General features: G+C 39.6%; 1 long non-coding RNA gene across 1 annotated transcript in view; it reads left to right on the top strand.

Moving 5' to 3' along the window:
* The window catches only part of ASMER1 (adipocyte associated metabolic related lncRNA 1), a 101,831-nt gene that overhangs the window by 54,451 nt on the left and 22,107 nt on the right, over positions 1-25,273 (top strand). Inside the window, exon 2 of the long non-coding RNA NR_146322.1 lies at positions 6,510-6,676. This is a non-coding gene — a long non-coding RNA (adipocyte associated metabolic related lncRNA 1). The remainder of the gene's footprint in view (positions 1-6,509; positions 6,677-25,273) is intronic.

Here is a 25,273-nt window from a genome sequence, read left to right as displayed (position 1 = left end):
GTCAGAAGGATTGTCATAAAATTGTTGACTGGACTCTTTCTCAGGAAAAGTTTAGCATGTCCTGGCAACTTTTAGGCTCATACCACTAACTCTGAGAGGTCAAGGGTTTTATGTAGAATGGTAACCTTCTTAAAATTGAGGTTTTAATAAACAGAGCTACGCATAGCAGACTCATCCCTGGTCTTACAGAGAGGATGTCAAATGGCTGAACCATGTGCTTTCTCAAAGTCAGTGACAGCAGAGATGAGGAAGGGGTTGATGATGTAAGAGAGAGCTGGGACAAAGGCCAAGTCAATACCAAATGAGTTGTCATTCTCCCTATGCTTTTCATACACACCCAAGCGTTTCACTCGGGAGATACCAGAGCAAAAGGAAGATAAATGCTACATGTAGTTCGTTCTGATATAACTGTCACTAGCACATGGTGCACACGCTCCATGAGAACACTTCTGTTTCATTAATCATGCTCTTTTGAAAATGTGACTAAATGTAAGTGATGTCAATTTCCAGTGCTGCTTTTGCTTTATAAGTAGGCTTTGAGGATTTAACCATATTTGGTAGATGCTAATATTTCTGTGTTGGCCATGAGAAAGATTATTATAGTACACAATGTAGTAAAATATTTGTCTTATGTAAAGAGAGAAATAATCATTTTTATTTACATTCCTGTGCAACTCGGGTCAGTCTGCCCTAAGGAGTTTTATTTTCTAAAGAATAAGCCTAGGAAATGATTTCATCATAGATTCAAGTAACAGCGTGAAACAAACACAGCCTCGGGATTTTTGCTATGTGTAGTCCCCTTAATTTTCTAGAATAAGACAAAAGACTGTTGTAAATAATTTTGAATAAAACTCGGATTTGTTATTTAATTTTAAAGACCTCCCAGAGTTTGAGATAATCAAAACAAACTTATTTTGTGCTCAGATTAAGAGCAAAATAACAAAACTAATCTACTAGTGATAGACTTTTAAATGCAAATTTAAAACAAGATACATATCTTTCAAAGGATGATTTTCTTCTTGTCATAAAAGACAAATTACTGAAATGCCTTTAGAGATTTATATTTGTATATTGCATTTATAACAATGATAAATCTCAGTTAACAATAAAAGGTTAAATTATGTCTTAAATGTAGGAAAATATAGGAAAGGTAAGGATATTTTTATTTTTATTTTTTTTAAGGAGCAAATAGGGCAGAAATTAGAGTGGCCAGCAGGGGGCTTCTTTTAGGTTTCTTTCCCTTTCCCATAAATTAAAACCTAACCTAAAAATATAGTTTACTCTTTAGTTTTATAAATAAGGAATAAAGAGACAAACAATGGCTGCTAAATTTTCATTGCTTCCACTAGTTTAAACAAGACACGTTTTACTTCTCTTTAGTTAATTCCTCTCTCCTGCTTACTTCCCTTCCTACCACTATTTTTTCTCAAGACCTGTAAAGTGATCCCTGCAGTCTGGATTGGCCAGTGCTGCCTCTGCCTCCATCCTCAACCAAAGTTCTATCTTTGCAAACCTTCCAGGGAGGATTTTAATGATGAACTCCCCACCAAATAGAAATGAAAAGTAAATTAAGAGCAAAGAAGCATATTCTATATTGATGATTTAAATGGTAGTTATAAAAATCTAGTTGCACTCTGAACCTCCTTTTGAGAGGGACTTTCTGAAATCATGGGCTTGAGTGTAGTAGTATAATAGGCAGTGAATGGCCATGTAACATGACATTTTAAAAGAGTGCTGTGTTTTCCCAAGAATTTGAGAGTTTGTGAAAGACCTCCAGAACTAGTAGGCAGATTCTGACTCATTTTGTAATATAGCTCCAAATTATCTTTCTATCCTTTCTTACATGCATAAGAAGTGAATGTAAGAACCATAATTTTTACTTCCTTTTTGTGCCCATTTTATAAAGGTAGGCTCAAAACCTTAATGATAGAGCAGAGCAATTCACCAGAGAGTGAATTAGAGGCAAAATTGTGATAGTCTGTGTTATCCAAGTGAAATCTCAAGAGAAATTGAAACTGACATCATGTAACTTTTTAAAATAAGAATTAGGTCCTGACAGAAAAAAAAAAGTGGTATATCTATAACAATTTTTGAAGTTCCAAGTAAATAAAAAGCCAGGAATTCCAAGTTCAATATGTAAGACAAAAAATTATGTTAGGATTTTGTTTTAACATTGATATGGTTTGGCTGTGTCCCCATTCAAATCTCAACTTGAATTGTATCTCCCAGAATTCCCACATGTTGTGGGAGGGACCCAGGGGACGGTAATTGAATCATGGGAGCTGGTCTTTCCCGTGCTATCCATGATAGTGAATAAGCCTCACGAGATCTGATGGGTTTATCAGGGGTTTCCACTTTTGCTTCTTCCTCATTTTCTCTTGCTGCTGCCATGTAAGAAGTGCATTTCACCTCCTGCCATGATTCTGAGGCCTCCCCGGCCACATGGAGTTGTAAATTCAATTAAACCTCCTTTTCTTACCAGTCTTGGGTATGTCTTTATCAGCAGTGTGAAAATGGACTAATACAGTAAATTGGTACTGAGAGTGGGGTACTGCTGAGAAGATACCCAAAAATGTGGAAGCAACTTTGGAACTGGGTAACAGGCAGAGGTTGAAACAGTTTGGAGGGCTCAGAAGAAGACAGGAAAATGTGGGAAAGTTTGGAACTTCCTAGAGACTTGTTGAATGGCTTTGAACAAAAGCTTGATAGAGATATTGACAATAAGGTCCAGGCTGAGGCTGTCTCAGAGGAGGAGATGAGGAAGTTGTTGGGAACTGAAGCAAAGGTGACTCTTGTTATGTTTTAGCAAACAGACTGGTGGCATTTTGCCCCTCCCCTAGGGATTTGTGGAACTTTAAACTCAAGAACGATGATTTAGGGTATCTGATGGAAGAAATTTCTAAGCAGCAAAGCATTCAAGAGGTGACTTGGGTACTGTTAAAGGTATTCAGTTTTATAAGGGAAGTAGAGCATAAATGTTCAGAAAATTTGCAGCCTGACAATGTGATAGAAAAGAAAAACCCATTTTCTGGGGAGAAATTCAATCCAGCTGCAGAAATGTGCATAAGGAGCCAGGAGCCTAATGTTAATCCCCAAGATAATGAGGAAAATGTCTCCAGGTCATGTCGGAGACCTTCATGGCAGTCCCTCTCATCACAGGCCCAGAGGCCTAGGAGGAAAAAGTGATTCTGTAGGCCAGGCCAGGCCTAGGGTGCCCATGAGGTGTGCAACCTGGGGACTTGGTGTCCTGTTTTCCTACTGCTCCAGCCATGGTTGAAAAGGGGCCAATGTAGAGCTCGGGCTGTGGCTTCAGTGGTTGGAAGCCCCAAGCCTTGGCAGCTTCCATGTGGTGTTGAGCCTGCACGTGCACAGAAGTTAAAAATTGAGGTTTAGGAACCCTCACCTAGATTTCAGAAGATGTATGGAAATGCCTGGATGCCCAGGCAAAAGTTTGCTGCAGGAGTGGGGCCCTCATGGAGAACCTCTGCTAGAGCAGTGTGGAAGGAAAATGTGGGGTAGGAGCCCCCACACCGAGTCCTTACTAGGGCACAGCCCAGTGGAACTCTGGGAAAAGGACCACCATCCTTCAGACCCCAGAATGGTAGATTTACTGATGGCTTGCACCATGTGCCTAGAAAAGCAACAAACTCTAAACACCAGCCCATGAAAACAGCTGGGAGGAGGGGCTGTACCCTGCAAAGACACAGGAGCAGAGCTGCCCAACACCATGGGAATCCACCCCTTGCATCAGCATGACCTGGATGTGAGATCAGGAGTCAAAAAAAGTAACTTTTAAGCTTTAAAATCTGACTACCCTGCTGGATTTTGGACTAGCAGGGGCCCTGTAACCCGTTTGTTCTGGCCAATTTCTCTCACTTGGAATTGCTGTATTTACCCAATACCTGTACCCCCATTGTATCTAGGAAGTAACTAGCTTGCTTTTGATTTTACAGGCTCATAGATGGAAGGGATTTGCTTGTCTCAGATGAGACTTTGGACTGTGGACTTCTGGGTTAATGCTGAAATGAGTTAAGACTTTGGGGGACTGCTGGGAAGGCATGATTCGTTTTGAGATGTGAGGACGTGAGATTTGGAGGGGCCAGGGGCAGAATGATACAGAATGATATGGTCTGCCTGTGTCCCCACCCAAATCTCAACTTGAATTATATCTCCCAGAATTCCCACGTGTTGTGGGAGGGACCCACAGGGAGGTAATTGAATCATGGGGGCTGGTCTTTCCTGTGCTATTCTTGTGATAGTGAGTGAGTTTCACGAGATCTGACGGGTTTATCGGGGGTTTCCACTTTTGCTTCCTTCACATTTTCTCTTGCCACCACCGTGTAAGAGGTTCCTTTCACCTTCCACCATGATTCTGAGGCCTTCCCAGCCATGTGGAACTGTAAGTCCAATTAATCCTCTTTTTCTTCCCAGTCTCTGGTATGTCCTTATCAGCAGTGTGAAAATGGACTGATACAAATATAGAAAAAATGAAACTTTGATTGTTGGAATAATACAAACAGTGCAGCACAGACTGGCTTAGGGTCATGTTTCCCAAGCTGGAACAAATGGCAGTGGGATATGGGTTATTGAAACCACAGGATGAGCCTACAGCTTATTCCTCTTGTGCCAGTTTACATGTGGACTGGGAATAAAAGATTAGAAATTCCAAATGCCTTTATGCTATCTTAACAGGGTCACGTTATGACATAGAATATAAAATGATTTTTGTTATGGTCTGACATTTATGTCCAAATATGTTGAAATCCTCACCCCCAAGGTGATTGTATTAGAAGGTGGGGCCTTTGGGAAATGATTAGGTCTTGGGGGAGGAACCCTCACAAATGGGATTAGAGTTCTTCCAGAAGATGCCAGAGAGAGATTTCTTACCCCATCCACCGTGTGACTGCATAGCAAGATGTCATTGATGAGCCAGAAAGTGGGCCTACACTAGACAACAAATCTGTCAGTGCCTTGATCTTGGATTTCCCAGCCTTCAGAACTATGAGAAATAAATTTCTGTTGCTCATAAGCTACCCCATTTATGACATTTTGTTATAGCAGCCCATACAGACTAAGACAACTTTTAAAAGATGAGCCTTCAAGACATTTTGAATATGTAAAGGTCTGCTATAGCTTGACTCCTCTAGGGATATTAGTTAAATAAATGCTTCAACAGCCAAACTATGAGATTTCTTGTCTTGGCAGAGTGGTTGATTGATGTGACCTCTGATAAGTCAGTTAATTTTTCATGCATTAGTCAAATTGGTCATAGCTTTTAACTCAATTGAGGAATTATTAGAAAATTAGAATTATAGAGTTGAATACTGTATTACTTTAAATGATTTGTAAAGTATAAATGTATAAACATCACTGTAAGTGTGTTCGTTCAAAGTTTTAGAATCTACCTCAGAGGAAAAGAAGAGAGGGGTTGGAGGCAGAAATATCATGACCTACTGCAAAAACATAACTGTGATTTATATGTGCTTACATAGCTTTGTCCTTTACCATACCTTAGTTCTCAGGGTTATCCTTCAAAACAGGGAAGAAATGCATTTTTATTACTGGGTGATTTAACCAGTGGTCAAGAATATGACTTATAACCTTGAATTTTAAGACTGTCTATGGGCAGAATTTGAAGATGAAATTTAATAGGGTTCCTCTAGAGTCCTAAAAGAAGAAGTCAATAAGGGAAGAGGTCTTTTATCTAGTAGTGGTTTATAAAACAGTTCCTGGGCATGACATCACAGTGCAATGTACTTGGTTCAGATTACTCCTCATTATCTATCAGTACAACTACACCGAACAAAAGATGCCCTTCGATATTATAATGGGTCTCTGATGGGCATTAAAGGAAATGTGTAAAAATAAAACCCCTAATATTCTTTCTTTTTAAAAATACTATATTACTCCCCTTTTCTCCCCATTCATGTTTCTTTTGCTCTTACTCGAATGAGAATGAGAAGTGAAAATGAATGTATGTAATCAGGCATTCATCAAACATAGTTATCTGTTGTATTTTCCTTGTTTGGTTATTATATTTTGAAAAACTTTGACAGAAAAATGTTAAGAGAAAAATGCATGAAAAGTAGATCAGTCAGTTGTAAGGTACTCACTTTTAATTAAAATATATCTGATCTTTTTTCAAGTGTGGGCCTTTCATATCTAATTACACAAAGACTTATTGGCAGAGAAGAGGTAGTTGATTTTCTTTCTCTTATATTCCCTCCTCACTCACAGTATATTTTCCAGTATTTTGTGTTGGATGCCTCTTTTAAAAAACCTATACTCAAACAATTATCTGCAGAAAAGCAACTTTAAGATTATTGTAAGGTGATTATACTAATGGATCTAATTTTCCATGCCTCATGCCTTTCTATTTCATGCCCTTTGGTAGTGACCTCCCCATTCTTATTCTAAGTTGGCTACATGACGAGAACAATGGGATTTTAGTGGAACTGATGCAAGCAGAAGCCTGAAATGTGTTTCTGCATTTCTGCTTTCTTTTGTAGACTCCTGCCCCTGCCACGAGAACACACCCTTTCCAGTTTGCTGGAGAAATATAAGAGAAGTCCAGTGAAAGAGAGCTGAGTTTCCCCAATGATGCCATCAAGATGAACTAACTACAGTTAACCAGCCAGCTGATAGCAGATGCATGAGTGAGCCCAGCTGAGAGCAGGTGAGCATGGCCCAGAGCAGCAGAGCTGCTGAGCCAGTCCCTGAGTTGAAACAAAATAATAAGTGGTTATCTTCATCCATTAAGCTTAATTTGTTGTACAGCAATAGTGTATCGATACAGGATCATTTGTTCCAGAATTCCCATATTAGAGATGAGAATACTGAGGCTGGGGATCTACATTTTCCCCAACTTAACAGAGCTACCAAACTCCCCAGATTTTAGAGTTGACAACTCTACTTATAAGTTATATAAAAGTCAGAGCACCTAATTATTGACAAACTTCTCAATCCTTACCAGCTAGTTCCAGATGATAATGTGTAAACAATATTTCCTGGAATTATTTTGATTAGTATTACACTTAAGGTTAAAGATTTTGTCAAGCCTAAGCATTACAGAAATTGTCATTCATGTGAAGTTATTCTCTTGTGCAATAGAAAAGCTTCATTTAGTGTGCTGAGTTTGTAGCTGCATTTGATGCTTAATGGGGTTAGCCCCGTGAAGCATATTGCAAGTGTCCTCTAGAGACTGGACTGGTTTCCAATTGATTTCAAGTTGCAGTTCAAATTGTTGTCTTTCACAAATAGCAACTACATTGTGTCAATTGACGACCTCGCAAAAACTACTGTAAATAAAATCTTAAACTTTGAAACTACAGTAAAGGTTACTCTGTAATGTACGTGAGACAAGCAATCATGAATTAGGAGGGTTTCCTTTCAATTATGAGTCAAGCTTCAGGATCCAAAATATAGAGCTTTTTACTGAATTATAGCTCATGGCATTGTATTTGGATTGAGAAGTGTAGAGATTCAGAATGATTTTCTCTTCTAATAGTTTGCTGTTTAATGGGAATTTTTTTATTAAGCATAAATCTCATTTTCTTTAAAATACTTTAATATCCTAGTATAGTAGATTTTTAACAGTCTAAAAGTTTTAAGCTTTTTTTATTTTGGTCTTGGAGATAGACAATAATTAACGCTCCTTAAATGCATTTTTCTTTCTTCTGATGATGACTTGCCTTTGAGGACCCGGTTCAAAACATACAGCACTGAACTGATCCACTCTGATTTTCATTTATTTATTAAGTATTTGCCTTTGTGCCAGTTTTGCAGTGTCATCAATTGGCTACAATAAATCTATATGTGCTCTGAAGAAAGTTGATTTCTTTAGTCTTCCTCTCCCAGACTGTTATTTTTTCTGTGTGATAAGCTTTAAAGGACTTAAAGGGATAAAATGTAAAGAAATTGTTTTGAGCAGAAAAGATATGCCTAATAGTTTAAAGATCTATGTTCTTCTGTTACCCAAATTCAAAACAACAATATGGCTATCGTTGTGATTATTATATTATTCTTAGGCATAAGTTATTGAGTCTTTCCATGAGAGAGCAATTCATCTTAACATAGTCTAAATCTAATAACAATATTCAAGTCTTTATTTCAGATCACTTTTCCCTCCTGATTATATATCTTTCTCCTCAAATGTTGATATTCATTAGGAAGAAGAGACCAAAGACATAGAGTTCTTTAATAAGAAAGTGATAAACTTCTGTTAGGTATAACTCACCTTACACAAAGGGTGGATTTCTGTAAACTAAGGTAGAAATTAGATTTTGTGTGTGTGAATGGAGAAATCTGTAAACACATTTTGGGGACATATTAATGTCTAGATTCTAGAGCAGCTCCCTTTAAAAATAAATATCTCTTACAAAATTTCATTCTTAAATATCAAAAAAATTGAATCTACATTTTATTATTGCCAAAACCATTTACTCCAACACTTTAATTTTCCTTTTTCTCACTATTCTTGAACCTATTAAAAGAGGAAAAAGCAAACATGTTGGAACAACATAAAAAATAAAGAAAAACAAAAACAAAAATCCCGAAGAAACAAAATGTCTAGTGTCTTAATTATATGCTGCTATGTAATAAATTACCCCAAACTAAATGACTTAAAACAGCATACTGAGTATCTCACAGTTTCTGTGGGCTGGGAATGTAGGTAAAACTTAATTGGATTTTCTGCTTAGGATCTTCCACAGGCTACAATCATTGTGACATCTGGGGCTGAGGTCTAATTTTAAGGATCAACTGTGGAAAGATCCACTTGCAAGCTCACTCACTTGGTTGTTGGCATAATTCAATTCCTTGCAGGCTCTTGGTCAGAGGGCCTCAGTTTCCTGCTGACTGTTGGCCAGAGGCTAACCTCAGTTTCTTGCCACCTGGCCACTTCTACATAGCAGTCTGCTTCATCAAAAACAGCAAGAGAGAGAGAATCTGCAAGGAAGAGGAAAGTCAGTCTTTTGCAACTTAAGGACTGAAATGACATCCCATCACTTTTGTTACATTCAATTCATTAGAAACAAGTCATTAAGTCCAGGGCATACTCAAGGGAAAGATATCACACAAGGGTATGAGATTATATAGGAGGCAGGGATCAATGGGGCCTGTCTTAGGAGTCCATGTATCATAGAGTGGTCAGTTGTTAATAGTTTAATATTGTCTCTCTTTTATGGAAATATTTAAAAAGATTTTGCTTATCTATCACATTTCATTACATATACTATGCCATTACAGCCAAATGTGAATATTGTAAGGTACATATGCAAAAAAATTACAAAAAATTTGCATGACATGGTTAAGCATCCTCTCTAGAGTACTCTAGCAGGGTTGGTGTCCAACTGTGTTGGGAGCTGTTTTCAGATTTTGCCCTACCTGTACTTTGCTGTCATCTATGAAAAGAAAAAGTGGGTTATATCTTTCCGCTGTTCTGAAGTATGCATCAAATATGATAAAGAAAGCAATAAAACTGAGAAATAAAGAGATGCAAGGCTCAGCATGATTTGTATTTGCAACTTTGGAGAAACAAATTTTTCAAATTCATTGATTGTGTATTGCATTGCAATAACTAGAGCTGTAGAAAGAGTTAATATTCTTTGCATGACATCTAAATGTGAAGAATTTCAGATACTGAGAATTCTCTGTAGTTAACAACATAGGCTCTGGTAACATAAGGAGCAGGTCATTTCAACACACACTGGCACACAAGAGCAGATCTGGAACTATGAAAGAGAGGAATCTAGACCCATCAGGTAAGAAACATTTCTTTCCACCTTTTCTCAAGATTTTCATGGACTCCCTAGTATGAGGCTAAGGTAGATATTAAAATGTCGAATTCAGTGCTGATTAAAATCCAGTTCTTCTTTCCCTTCAGGCTCATAGGAGGTTACACTTGTCAACTCTCTGTAGTTTGCAAGATTATATGACTTTCTGGCCAACTGATAATGAACAGAAGTGACATGTGTTACCATCTAGACTGAAGTATAGAAGAATGGGTCTGAGTTCTCCATATACTTTCTTCTTCCTGCTCTGGTGACCAGTGACTTTTCAAATAGTAGAATCTATGTCTACCTGAGTTCTTAAGTGACTATATAAGGAAAAGCCCTGCCACTGACCAGTGATGGACATGTGGCATGTCTAAAGTGGTAACTCTTTTTTATGTTAAGGACCTTTATCTTAGTTTCCTATTGTTACTATAACAAATTACCGTGAACTAAGTGGCTTAAAACAAAGCAAATTTATTATCTTATAGTTGTGGGATTGAGAAGTTCTAAAATCAAGATGTTGTCAAAGCTGTATAGTGCTACTAGATGCTCTTGGGGAGAATCTATTTCCTTGCTTTTTGCAACTTCTACAGGATACCAGTATTCCTTGGCTTGTGGCCCCTTCCTTCATCTTCAAAGCTAACAGCATAACATCTTCAAAGCTAACAGCATAACATCTTCAAATCTGTGTTTTCCTCTCCTTGTCTCCCTGTTTGCTACTTCTAATTTCACATTTTCTTCTCTCGCTCTGACCTTCTTGCCTCCATCTTATGAGGACCTGTGTGATTACTCGGACCCACCCAAATAATCCAGCATAGTTCCCCATTCCAACATTCTTAACTTAATCTGCAAAGTCCCTCTTGCTAAATAAGGTAACATAGTTACAGGTTCTTGAGATTAGGATATGGACACCATTGGAGACTATATTAAGCCATTCTGCATTGCTATAAAGGAATACTTGAGACTGGGTAATTTATAAAGAAAAGGGTTTTATTTGGTTCATGTTTCTGTAGGTTGTGCAAGCATGGCACGTGCATCTGTTTGGCTTGTGGTGAGGCCTCAGGAAGCTTACAGTCATGGTGGAAGGCAAAGAGGGAGCCAGTACATCACGTGAACTCGTAGAGTGAGAACTCATTCACTACCATGAAGACAACACCAAGCCATTCCTGAGGTATCAGCTCCCATGACCTGAACATCTCCCACTAGGCCCACCTCCAACACTGGGGGTCAAACTTCAACATGAAATTTGGAGGGGACAAACATCCACGTCATATCAGATATCATTATTTAACCTACCATATCCTTGGAATTAGGGGTTGATGTGTTACTGCAGCATAGTTTAATGTATGCTGAGGAATATGGAAGCCATAGTAAGTTAATACTAAAATCTCACTGGACATTAACTATAGAAGTATGCCCAAGGTAACTATTTAGTAGACATAATCAGCCTCAACTTTTTGTTGTCTTCATGAGGTTGCAAATTATAGAACTTGCTTATGAAAGTTAATACAAAATGCACAAAACTGAGAATTGTCTGTCACCCTCTGGTTTCTGGTTTCTAGGATTTCCAGGCAAGATAAACACCAAATGACACCAAAATATGATCTATTCCTATTTGGGTATTTATATATCACACATTACATGTGATGAAGTTACAACATAACTTAGGATATTAGGTATAAGATCTGAAACAAGTGAAAATATCTTTCTAAAGTATATCTAATGACAGCAATAATCACATTTTATTTATCAGATTGTTTTCTATCTGGACAAAAACACTTAATCTATTGATAATACCTTATGTGGCATTACATAGCATAATTACATAATGTAATTACATATGTTCAGCTGTATTATTTTATGTTCTACTAGGTGGAATCTTATGGAAGTTTTCATTTAAAAAAGCAATTATTTTTGTGTATATGTCTATATAAGACATAAGCAGATCAAGACAGACGATTAGGATATACGCAGCAAGACTACAATAAAATTTTGTGGGTTTCAGTATTATCTCACATATGAGAAGAAGCTAATGGGTATGGAGCTTGTGCTAATATTTTATTATTTCAACTCTAGAAGATCATGTACTCAACCACTGATTTATTCATGAATCTATCTATTTATCCTTTCAACATTCCTTCACTATCGACTAGGATGATACTGTAGTTCATCAATAAGAATATATAGGTTTTGGAGAGAGATTGACACCTAAATTTCAAACTCAGCTTCACCACTTACTAACTGTGTTGAGCTAGGTAAACACAGCCTCTCTGCCCCTTAGTCAGATGTAAGCATGATAATAATGTTTACAGTTAAGGATTATTGTGAAAATTAGTGATAATGTACATCAAACACTTGGTGTGCTGTAACCATTCAACAGATGATAATGGAGACTCTGGTTGTTATTTGCCAGAAATCAGGATGCGAAGATGGAAAACACATAACTCCTCCCTCTAAATAACTGAAGTGGAAGCAAATGACTACAGTGTAGATTAGAGTTACCAATAAGCTATGGATCAGAGAGAAGAGAATGATTTAGTTTTTGGGAGAGTCATAAAAGGTCTGCATGATAGATGACTTTTGAGATGGCTTAGAAGGAGTGAATTGGGTGTCTGAAAGAGGAGACATTTTAATTAGGAGCAATATGTGTAGTTATACGACATATTAAAGGAGAGAGAGAATAAAAGAAATCTTAAGTAATTTGGTTTATCTAGAGCACAAGGCTTTTCAAAACTCACTTTTCGGGTTTCTCAAAGAACTTAACACAGATCTACCATTGACCTGGCAATCCGATTTCCGGTATATACCCAAAGGAATATAACTCGCTCTAACAGAAAGACACATGCACCCATATGTTCATGCCAGCACTATTCACATTCGCAAAGACATGGGATTAACCTAGATGCCCATCAATAGTGGATTATGAAGAAAATGTGGTACATATACACAATGGAATACTATGCAACCACAAAAGAATATGAAATAATGTCCTTGCTGCAACGTGGATGAAGCTGGAGGCCATTATCCTAAGCAAATTAATGCAGAACAGCAGACCACATACCCCATGTTCTCACTTATAAGTGGGAACTAAACATTGAGCACACATGGATACAAAGATGAGAACAATAGACACTAGGGCCTACTTGAGGGTGGGAGGATGGTGAGGGTAAAAAAACTACCTATCAGGTACTATGCTCACTACCTGGGTGATGAAATCATTTGTATACCAAACTCCAATGACACACATTATACCCATGTAACAAACCTGCACATGTATCCCCTGAGCCTAAAATAAAAGATGAGAAAAAAAACTCTTCCCTTCCTCATCATTCTGTTCTTTCAAGAGTCCAGTGTGGCATCAGTGGGCCTAAGAATCAGAAAAGTCGTCCACTCATTCTCTAATGCCTCTGCTGTACTGAATATATATATCCTAAATACATAGCATCTACCACTTTTGTAACCTTTTTTGTTTGCTTTTCCTCTCTACTAGGTTGTAAATTTCACAAGTTTAGTGACCACCATTTATTCATCATTATATCTCTGCCATTTACAAGAACACATATTAAGTAATTATAATAAAGATTTCTTGAATGAATGAATAAATCGTGTGGCCATGGTAGAAGATTAGAAGAAGTCTGAGTGAATTAGCTAAGCAAAAGATTTTATTTTGTTCTTATGTTAGTAACAGAGAGACATATTCAAGGAGAAGATTGAGGAACCAAGAGAATAAAATTTACAGTATCATAACTGTCCAAGACATGAGCTCAGGGAGAGTGGTGGGGATTGAGGGGAAAAGACAGATTCCAGACATATTTATGACTTAGAATGAACAAATCTTGGGAATTGTTTGGTAATGAGCATAATTGAAATTACTGCTGGATGACAATATTTAAAGAAACATTCCATTTTGAACATGTGGAGCTTGAAGTTCCTGTGGAGTACCTATCAAGGAACAGCTGCAAATATTTTATAGGAAGACTGAAGAGTAGCTAGTGTTAGAGAGAAATTTAGGGACATAGGTGAGATTAAAACTGTGAGGATGGTTGAGATCACTCAAGGAAAGTATATGCAGACTGAGAAAAGGAAGGAATCAAGGAAAGAATTATGAAGAAAAGGAGAAAAATGAACTAGAAGAACAGATTAAGAAAGAAAAATCAGAAAGAGGAAAACTTGGAGGATTTTGTGTAATTGAAGCTAAGTGAGTTCCAGGAAGACAAGTATCACTAAACAAAAATAAAAATAAAGTTATATGAATTTTGAACCACATTTATTGAAAGGAGCAGCTAAGAAGCTTGTAGTAGCCTTAGTTGCCACATTTTTTGTAGTTGTAAAGGAGAAGCCAGTTTAAAATGAGTTCAGTGGCTGGGTGCGGTGGCTCATGCCTGTAATGTCAGCACTTTAGGAGGCCAAGGTAGTTGGATCATCTGAAGTTGGGAGTTCGAGACCAGCCCGACCAACATGGAGAAACCCTGTCTCTACTAAAAACACAAAATTATCCAGGCATGGTGGTGCATGCCTGTAATTCCAGCTACTCTGGAGGCTGAGGCAGGAGAATCGCTTGAAATGGGGAGGCAGAGGTTGCAGTGAGCCAAGATTGCGCCACTGGACTCCAGCCTGGGCAACAAGAGTGAAACTCCGTCCCAATAAAAGGAAAAAAAAGAGTTCATAGACAGTTGTTCAGAAAGGAGTGAATACAGAATCTTCTTTCTAGAATATTCTGACCTGAAAGATGAAGATAGGACAGTTATCAAAAGGTCAGGCAGGGTAAATGGGGATCATTTAAGTATGTGAGAGCCCCAACCATATTTTGGCCTGAGAGAGAAAGACACTGGAGAATAAGTGATTGAAAATACCAGACTAATATAGGATTATTCATGGAGCAAAGTTTATGAGGCAATTAGGCAGGATAAGTGGAGAAAATGGTGACAAAGCTCTGTGCTGCTCCATATGCTTGAAGGAGTAGAAAAGATAATTGTACAATCAACAGTGGTTATCAAGTGGTCGTAATATGCTAGCTCTGTCTGTAATTGTCTAGGGCGTTTATTTGGAGGCATGGCTCACTTTTTCAGCAAATATTTATTGAAGTTGTTCTATGTAGCTAGCACTGAGACAGGTTCTTTCACATTTACAGCATAATTCAATCTGAGGATAGGTATTTTTTTTAATTGTACTTTAAGTTCTGGGGTACATGTGCAGAACATGCAGGTTTGTTACATAGGTATACATGAGCTATGGTGTTTGCTGCATCCCAACCCATCATCTACATTAGGTATTTCTCCTAATGCTACCCCTCCCCTAGGCCCCCACCCCCTGACAGGCCCCGGTGTGTGATATTCCCCTCCCTGTGTCCATGTGTTCTCATTGTTCAACTCCCACTTGTGAGTGAGAACATGCAGTGTTTGGCTTTCTGTTCCTGTGTTAGTTTGCTGGGGATGATGGTTTCCAGTTTCATCCATGTCTCTGCAAAGGACATGAACTCATCCTTTTTTATGGCTGCATGGTATTCCATGGTATATATGTGCCACATTTTCTTTATCCAGTGTATCATTGATTGGCATTTTGGTTGGTTCCAAGTCTTTGCTATTGTGAATAGTGCTGCAGTAAACATACATGTGCATGTGTCTTTATAGTAGAATGTTTTATAATCCTTTGGGTATATACCCAGTAATGGGATTGCTGGGTCAAATTGTATTTCTGGCTCTAGATCCTTGAGGAATTGCCATACTGTCTTCCACAATGGTTGAACTAATTTACGCTTCCACCAACAGTGTAAAAGCATTCCTATTTCTCCACATCCTCTCCAGCATCTGTTGTTTCCTGACTTTTTTAATGATCGCCATTCTAACTGGTGTGAGATGGTATCTCATTGTGGTTTTGATTTGCATTTCTTTAATGACCAGTGAAAATGAGCTTTTTTTATATGTTTGTTGGCTGCATAAATATCTTCTTTTGAGAAGTGTCTGTTCATATCCTTCACCCACCTTTTGATGGGTTTTTTTTCCTTGTAAATTTGTATAAGCTCTTTGTAGATTCTGGATATTAGCCCTTTTTCAGATGGATAGATTGCAAAAAAATTCTCTCATTCTGTAGGTTGCCTGTTCACTCTGATGATAGTTTTTTTTGCTGTGCAGAAGCTCTTTATTTAATTAGATTCCATTTGTCAATTTTGGCTTTTGTTGCCATTGCTTTTGGTGTTTTAGTTATGAAGGCTTTGCCCATGCCTTATTTTATCCCAAAGAGAGGTTTAACTGTGAGTCAGGAAGGCCAATGTGGGCATAAACTTTGGGAGGAAAACACCTCAGAATTTATGCAAATTAATTAATCTTAGGGTGCTTCTTCTTGTCCTGTGGGTAGGCTGGCCCATAATTCAACCTTAGGAAATGACATATCCATGGTAATTTGTGCATTTGTAGGTGTCGTGGTGGTGGAGGGTTATGTGGAATGTTTATGTTTGTAGCCATAGGTCACAATAATTGCCTCTGCATTCCATATTTAGATATCACTTTGGAAGGCTGAGGTGTCAGTTTTATCAGCCTAGTGCTAGAAATACAATTCATACTGGCAAGGTCTATTATGAAACATAGATATCTATAATGAATGATGTATGTACCACAAAGATGAAGGCCAAGGCTTCTCATTGTTGGATCATAATTCTTCCCAAGGGGCCACAGTCATCTTCATATCAGATTTAGTTCGAGCATGAAATTTGAAAGTTCCAGTTTATACAGAAAATTTTGTAATGATCGTGTTGGAACAGTAGGAAACAATAAATTTTATCATTCTATCCTTTTGAAAGGAATTAAATACAGCCATTAGATAAGTATTCTATTTCCTAAATAGTTTTGGGTCACACAAGTTCTTCTGATTCCAACTCTTACTTTTTCAGTGGTCTATGTAGATAAGGAGTTGACTTTAGTTTACTGAGTTTTATTATGCCATATTTATTTATGTAATGTCTAGTCTATAGGCTTGTTTTAATACCAACTAAAGAATGCCATGTTTCTCTTGACCTTCTGCTCTTTCTACATTTTTCCTTTGTTCCACTTCTTTTTTGTCTTCAGCAGGCATCATTATCTATTTGCTCTCTTTAATTCTGCTGGTCCCCTGCCTTTTTTTTGAGAACTAAATGCTCAACCATTGTCTGGGAAGTAAAAGTTTCCTCTCCCTATTTAAGTTCAGTGGTTGGGACCCCCAGATTAACCTGACAAAAGACAGACTAGCAAGAGAAAACAAAATCAGAAAGTTGATTCATATGCATGTGGGAGCGCACAAAAGAAGTGGCTCACTAAATGGCTAAAGGTAGAGGTTTATGTACCTCGTTTAAAAAGAGAAGGAAGATAAAAAGACTTCTATGAGAAGAAAACATGAATTTCTTTAGGAAAGACAAATGGATTTTGGAGGAACATATGGGAAATACAGTTTATGATAATGTGTATGCAGGTGTGTAACAGTAGTTCATTTTCACACTGCTATAAAGAAATGTCCTAGACTAGGTAATTTATACAGGAAACAGTTTTAATTGACTCACAGTTCCACATGTCTGGGGAGGCCTTAGAGAACTTAAAATCATGGTGGGAGGCAAAGGGGAAGCAAGAACCTTCTTCAATTCTTCACATGGTGGCAGGAGAGAGAATGAAGAAGGAACTTCAAACACTTATGAAATCATCAGATCTTGTGAGAACTCACTCATTATTATGAGAATAGCATATCTCATGCCCCCATGATCCAATCAGCTCCCTTCTTGTTTAAAAGAGGAGCAGAGCATAAAAGATTAAAACATTTGCAGTCTGATGATGTGACAAAAAAGAAAAACTCATTTTCTAGGGAGAAAGTCAAGCCAGCTGCAGAAATTTGCATAAGTAACAAGGGGCCAAATGTGAATTGCCAAGGCAATGGGGAAAATGTCTCTGGGGCATGTCAGAAGACTTCATGGCAGCCCCTCCCATCACAGGCCCAGAGGCCTAAGAAGAATAAATGGTTTCCTGGGCCAGGCCCAGGGCCTTGCTTCTTTGTGCAGTCTTAGAACTTGGTGCTCTGTGTACTAGCCCTGGCTAAAAGGGACCAACATAGAGCTCAGGTCATTGCTTCAGAGGGTGCAAGCCCCAAGCCTTGGTGGCTTCCATGCAGAGTTGGGCCTGGGGGTGCACAGAAGTCAACTCTGCATGGAAGCCACCATTTGGAGGTTTGGGAACCCCCACCTATATTTTTCAGAGGATGCATGGAAACGTCTGGATGTCAAGGCAGAGGTGTGCCACAGGGGTGGAGCCCTTGTGGAGTACCTCTGCTAGCGCAGTGCAGAAGGGAAATGTGGGATGGGAGCTCCCACACAGAGTCCCCATGGGGGCACTGCCTAGTGGAACTGTGAGAAGACAGCCACCATCCTCCAGACCCCAGAATGGCAGATCCACTGACAGCTTGCATCATGCACCTGGAGAAGCTGCAGACACTCAATGTCAGCCTGTACTAGCAGCTGGGAGGGGGGCTGTAACCTGTAAAGCCACAGGGACAGAGCTGCCCAAGATCATGGGAGCCCACCTCTTGCATCAGCATGACTTGGATGTGAGACATGGAGTCAAAGGAGATCATTTTAGAGCTTTAAGCTTTAATTACTGTGTTGCTGGATTTTGGACTTCCATGGGGCCTGTAGCCCTTTCATTCTGGCCAATTTCTCCCATTTGGAATGGGTGTATTTACCCAATGCCTTTACTCCCATTGTATCTAGGAAGCAACTAACTTGCTTTGATTTTACAGTCTCATAGGTGGAAGAGACTTGCCTTTTCTCAGATGAGACTTTAAACTTGGACTTTTGGGTTAATGCTGGAATGAATTCAGACTTTGGGGGACTGTTGGGAAGGCATAATTGGTTTTGAAATGTGAATGAAACATGAGATTTGGGAAGGGTCAGGAGTGGAATGATATGGTTAGGCTTTGTGTCCCCACTCAAATCTCATCTTGAATTATATTTCCCATAATCTCTAAGTGTCAAGGGAGAGACCAGGTGTAGGTAATTGAATCATGAGTGTGGTTTCTTTCATGCTGTTCTTGTGATACTGAGTGAGTTCTCTCCTTATCTGATGGTTTTATAAGGGACTTTTCCTCCTTTGCTCAGCACTTCTTCCTGCTGCCTTATGAAGAAGGTGCCTTCCTTCCCCTTTGCCTTCCACCATGATTGTAAGTTTCCTGAGGCCTCACCAGCCATGATAAACTGTGATTCAATTAAACCTCTTTCCTTTACAAATTACCCAATCTTGGGTATTTCCTTATAGTAATGTGAGACCAAACAAATACATAGAACCTTGATCTTGGACTTCACAGCCTCCTGAAATGTGAGGAAATAAATTTTTGCTTTTACTCAGTCTCAGATATTCTATTACAGCAGCACAAAACAAAGACATTCTATTACAAGGAGAACAGATTATTATTAAATTTATGCAAATAACTATATTTACAGAAAAATAAAAATACTCAAAAGTATCCTCCAATTTCTGACAGGATTAGGTAGAGAGAAAAAGATAAATGCTTTATTTTTGTTGACAAAGTTTAATCTACTAAATTAAAAAAATAAATTTAAATTCAGGAGGTACATGTGAAGGTTTGTTACGTAGATATATTGTGTAGTGGTGGGGTTTGGGCTTCTAGTGTACCCAGAACCTGAATAATGAATATTGTACCCAACAGGTAATTTTCCATTTCTCATGCCTTCTCCCAACATCCTCACTTTTGGAGTTCCTAGTGTCTATTATTTCCTTCTGTGCATTCATGTGTACCCATTGTTTAGTTTCCACTGATACGTGAGAATGTACAATATTTGATTTTCTGTTTCTGAGTTATTTCACTTAGGATAATGGCCTACATCTCCATCCATGTTGCTGCAATAGACATGATTTCATTCTTTTATATGGCTGCATACTATTTCATAGTGTATATATAACATATTTTCTTTATTCAATCATCCACTTAGGGTAGACACTTAGGTTGATTCTGTGACTTTGCTATTGTGAATATAATCTACTAAATTGTTTTGATTTCTAGATAGCTGGAGAGAAAAGGAAAGGGATTCCTTATATCCAGAAAACAGAATACTAAACAGCTAGCAATATTTTGAGCAAGAGTCACAAGCAAAATGATAATCATTTTTCATCAGTTCATTCAATTTCATGTAATTCTTGTTTTGCTTGATCTTGGGTTAGTGGTTTTATGACCTATCAGCATCTCCATAAGTTCTGAATTTTCTTTTACTTAGGTCAGTGGTATAATCTTAAAGTTATTTAAGTGATGTCATCAGAAGCCTGTACCACACAGTATCTGTCACAGTCCTTTCTAAGGTTCTCTGAGGCAGTCTCTTTTGTTAAAGACACAACACTTTATGGCTTATACCTGATTTTTTTTTTAATTGTTTCTTTACATCTAAGGAAGAAGACTTCTAACTAAGGTAGAAATCAAAAGATTTCTATGTTCTAGGGCTTCTGGATTTAGAGCTATGTGCCAATTGTTTGACACAGGTTTTGGGATGAGACCCTCCTTCGGAATACATAGTTCCATGTTAGTCCAAGCAGACTTCAGAGGGAAGGCTTCTAAAATAACTCCCATCAGGCCCTGTATCAGACCTTTTTTATGCTGCTGATAAAGACATACCCAAGACTGGGAAGAAAAAGAGGATTAAATGGACTTACAGTTCCACATGGTTGGGGAGGCCTCAGAATCATGGCGGGAGGTGAAAGGTACTTCTTACATGGTGGTGGCAAGAGAAAATGAGGAAGAAGCAAAAGCAGAAACCCCTGATAAACTATCAGATCTTGTGAGACTTATTCACTATCACAAGAATGGCATGGGAAAAACTGGCCCCCATGATTCAATTACCTCCCTCTGGGTCCCTCCCAAAACACGTGGGAATTCTGGGATATTCAATTCAACTTGAGATTTGAGTGGGGACCAAACCATATCAGGCCCTGAATATCAGCCTCCAAATCAGCCAACTTCTGATTATTTACAGGAAGGCCTAGAAAAGGGTCTGGCCATTTGTTATGTTGGTGAGGAGAATTTTTTTCAGGGGGCCATCTGGCTTGTGGCACAACTACAGAATAACTGTCAGTGGAAGGGTTTATGGTCTGTGTGGATTTCAATTTTTGTTGTAAATGTGATTTCTGCTATTTAATTTTGCCAAGGGATCCTTTTAGGCTAGCCATGATACTCTTCTTCTTCTTTTAATTTGATTTTTCCATAGGTACAAACAGGTCATTTGTATAGGGGGGAAGCTCTCTAAAAATCCTTTTAAATATAAAAGCTTTTTCAGATCAAAGGATCTGTCATCTGGCCATTCATGATTTAGGATCTCCAAAGGTATACCTGTTCCAAAATGCGACTCAGAAGTAGTAAGACTTTCTGTGGCTTAACAGTGGGGACACAAGAGGCATTCCCAGAAAGGGTGCAGAACATACAGCCCCTGGAATCTAAGGTCGTTTCTCAAGCCACTTCTATAAACACCACTTCTAAGTCTCTGTCTTTCTGTGATGAAACTGCTGAAAATTAGCAATGGTGGATAGAATGCCAGCAACAAATGGAATGCCCGGGCTACCCAGATTTTTATCCAGCTAACTACAAATTCTTGGGATCCCAATCTGATGTTTGGCCATCTCTTAGCACAGACTTGGCAACCTGTACTCCTGGCAGGCAGAAAACCAGAGAGAGAGAACTCTCTTACTAAATCCAAGCCAAGCTTTCAAGACACAAAACAAGACAAACAGGGCACAATGACTATCCCTGTGAGCAAAAGGATCTATAACAAGAGTACGCAAACTAAAAGTCACAATACCCAAATAACTATTTCCCATAAGTGTTTTCTCCAGCTAATCTAAATATTGTAAAGAAAAGACAATGATATGGTAGTACTGGGAAGGGAAGACCATGGTCCCTTTAAATGATACTGAAGGGGAGAGGGAAGTGCGGTGTGGTCCCTGGCAAGGGCTCTACTCCCACGGACCTGGGTGAGGACAGGCACCCCTGCTTTTGTACCCAAATGTTGCATTTTCCGAGACCACCCCGGCCTGCCATGCCCCCATCCTGAGCCTATAAAAACCTGAGACCCTAGCGGGCAGACACACAGGCGGCCGGGTGTGGAGAGGAGCACATCAGCGGAAGAAGACACAAGCAGCTGGACGGGGACAAGACGTCGAGGGGAGCACCTAGCAGGGGAGCACCTAGCAGAGGAGCACCTAGCGGAGGAGCACCTGGCGGAGGAGCACGCTGGCAGAGGAGCAGTGGAGGAGCACGCTGGCAAAGGAGCACCTGGCGGATGAGCATGCTGGCGGAGGAGCAGTGGAGGAGCACGCTGGTGGAGGAGCACCTGGCGGAGGAGCACGCTGGTGGGGGAGCACGCTGGTGGGGGAGCACCTGGAGGAGGAGCACCTGGCGGAGGAGCACGCTGGCGAAGGAGCACCTGGCGCATGAGCACGCTGGCGGAGGAGCAGTGGAGGAGCACGCTGGTGGAGGAGCACCTGGTGGAGGAGCACGCTGGAGGAGGAGCACGCTGGTGGAGGAGCACGCTGGCGGGGGAGCACCTGCTGGAGGAGCATCTGAAGGAGGAGCACCTGGTGGGGGAGCACCTGGCAGAGGAGCATGCTGGCGGGGGAGCATGCTGGCAGAGGAGCACCTGGCGGGGGAGCACCTGACAGAGGAGCACGCTGGCGGGGGAGCACGGTGGTGGAGGAGCACCTGGCCGAGGATCACGCTGGCAGAGGAGCACCTGGCGGGGGAGCACGCTGGCAGAGGAGCACCTGACTGAGGACCCCGCTGGCAGAGGAGCATCTGGCGGGGGAGCACGCTGGCAGAGGAGCACCTAGCCGAGGACCACGCTGGCGGAGGAGCACCTGTCGGGGACCATGCTGGCGGGGAAGCACGCTGGCGGAGGAGCACACCAACAGATGCCGGCAGGCCATGGGCCAACCAGATGAGGCGGAGTTTGGCCAGGGCAGTCGGAGGAGAGCCCAGGCTGCTGAGTGGCCCAACTCCAGCGGAAGACTATCTCATTTCTGGCTGCCCCATCAGCTGAACGCTACTTCCACTCAATAAAACTTTACACTCATTCTCCAAGCCCACGTGTGGTCCAATTCTTCCACTACACCAAGGCAAGAACTCAGGAAACAGCCCTCTGTCCTTGTGACAAGGTAGAGGGTCTAATTGAGCTGGTTAACATAAGCCACCCGTAGACGGATAGACGGCAAACCTCTAAGCACCCTCTGACACACGCCCACTGAGGCTTCAGGAGCTGTAAACATCCACCCCTAGACACTGCCGAGGAGTCAGAGCCCCACAGCCTGCCCGTCTGTAAGTTTCCCTAGAGGTTTGAGCAGTGGGGCACGAAGAAGCAAGCCACACCCCCATCACATGCCCTGTGAGAGGATCAGGGAACTTTTCCTGTTTGAACAAAGACAAGTTCTTACTGCACGCACTCAGCTGGATGCTGAGCAGAGATCAGCAAGGAAATTTACCTTTGCTGGCTTGGTCAAGAGATCCTGAGATCTCAGCTGCAGCCTTCAGAGTGACTGGGGAGTCCCAACCATCCCATCTTCATTGCCAAAGTGTTGCGGAGGGAAAACTCTTCTTGTACTCACTTTGGTTCCTGGCTTGGAGGCCTGCAGATTAAACTGACAAAAGACAGATTAGCAGGAGAAATAAAAACTAAAGTTTATTTATATATGCATACGGGAGCACACAAAAGAAGTGGCCTCACTAAATAGCTAAAGTTAGGGTCTTATAGGCCTAATTTAAAAGAAAAAGTGAAGGAGAGAGAAAAGGCTTTGATGAGAAGAACATACATGTTTAGGAAAGACATATAGATTCTTAGGGGAACAAGTGGGAGAAATTGTGGTGTTATTTATGCAGGTGCAAGCGGTCTTTTCGTAGCGTCAGACTCCTTCAGAGGGGTATTCATGATAGTTGAATTCTTTTGAAAGTTTCTACTTCTAGGTAGATAAGGAGAATTCAGAAAAAGACTTCACAGTTGTATATCCTGGATCTCTCCACCACAATCCTATTACAGCTGTTACCCATTTTCACTTCCAGGTTTGCTATATACATAATACATTTGTATACATAAGACATAATTCCTGAAAGTCTCATAACTAATGACAGTGATGCTCTATGTATTAAATATAGCATATATTATGTATATATTTAAGCCATGGGGGTAGTTGAACTAATTAGGTGTTTTAGTTATATTTATTTCTTTTTAACGCATTACATGACGTAGGGAATGTGTGAAAGAAATCAGAAACCATGGCTTACATTTCAGTTTCTCATGAAGCTGTGTAATCTCGAGTCTGCTCTTTGAAAGTTGTTTTTGTATTTGTTGGTGAAGTGAGAATAATAATAATCTTCTCGCAGGACTGATGAGATATAAGGAGATAAAAAAGATGAAAGAACTTGGCAGACTGCTTGGCGCATAGTAGGCATCCAATACATTTCAGTTGAAGCTAAATCTACTTGGATCCAACTTCCCACGATGGCAACAAACTAACCTGCCTATATTTTCTCTGGTTTCCATTCGATCCTTGTCTTACTTGTAACATAGTTTAATCATAGCAGGGATGCACTAATGTATGCTACTTTTTTTTCACCAAACATTCGATATATCATTATTGTACATTATCACCATGTTATCCCTTTTAAGGTCACTATGCCATGCTGTCACTAAAAATCAGTCAAATGGAAACACACAGTCATTTACAAGCACTAGATAGTAGTTTGGCAAGGTGGAAGCTTATACTTTTAGGTCATAAATTAATAGCTAAGTTAATCTTCCTTTTTTAATTAAGAAAAGTCAACCAAGCATAAATGTTGATTAAACAGATCATGGTACCAAAAGCAGCATATAGGTAATATATGTTACACAAATTACTCAGCCTGTATCTCTCCATGAAGAACAAAGAAGAAATCAAGGTGATTATCTAAAATATATAGGCATAAAACCTAATAAACAATTTTTTATCTCAGCCACATCTGTGAATTTTTTGCATGAATTATCTGTTTAATTCCTTCAACAATCCACTTAGCTCTTGGAAGTTTTATCTAAACCCTGTTACTGTCAATCATTAAAAATGATACTTTTTCTCTTCACTATTTTATACATGTGAATATTGAGACAATAAATGTCAAAGTGACAACTAAGCTCCTTATAGGAGATACTGAGAATAAAGGCAAAATATGAAAACAAAATTTCAAACTGCTCACATTATTTTGCTGGGGAGTTTTCCTGTTGCTCTTGATCAATATTTCTTAGTCTTGGGAAAAACCTTAGGGAACCAGCATCCTAAATTATTTCTATAGGGTGTAAATTCATCTGCTGTTCCTCAAAATAAGTTATTTATTTTTAGAGAAAAATCAATGTTGAATTTGCAACTTTATCAGGTTTAAAGGCAGGTTAAATTCAGTGACAAAAGTGTTGTTTCTCATTTATATTCTCTGTATTTGAATTCAGGTATCTGTGAACCTCGGGAAATCTT

This window comes from Homo sapiens, chromosome 21, assembly GCF_000001405.40.
Source record: "Homo sapiens chromosome 21, GRCh38.p14 Primary Assembly".
Taxonomy (NCBI): Eukaryota; Metazoa; Chordata; class Mammalia; order Primates; family Hominidae; genus Homo; species Homo sapiens.
The sequence above is the reverse complement of the archived record's forward strand: the minus strand, read 5'-3'. Positions and strand labels throughout refer to the sequence as shown.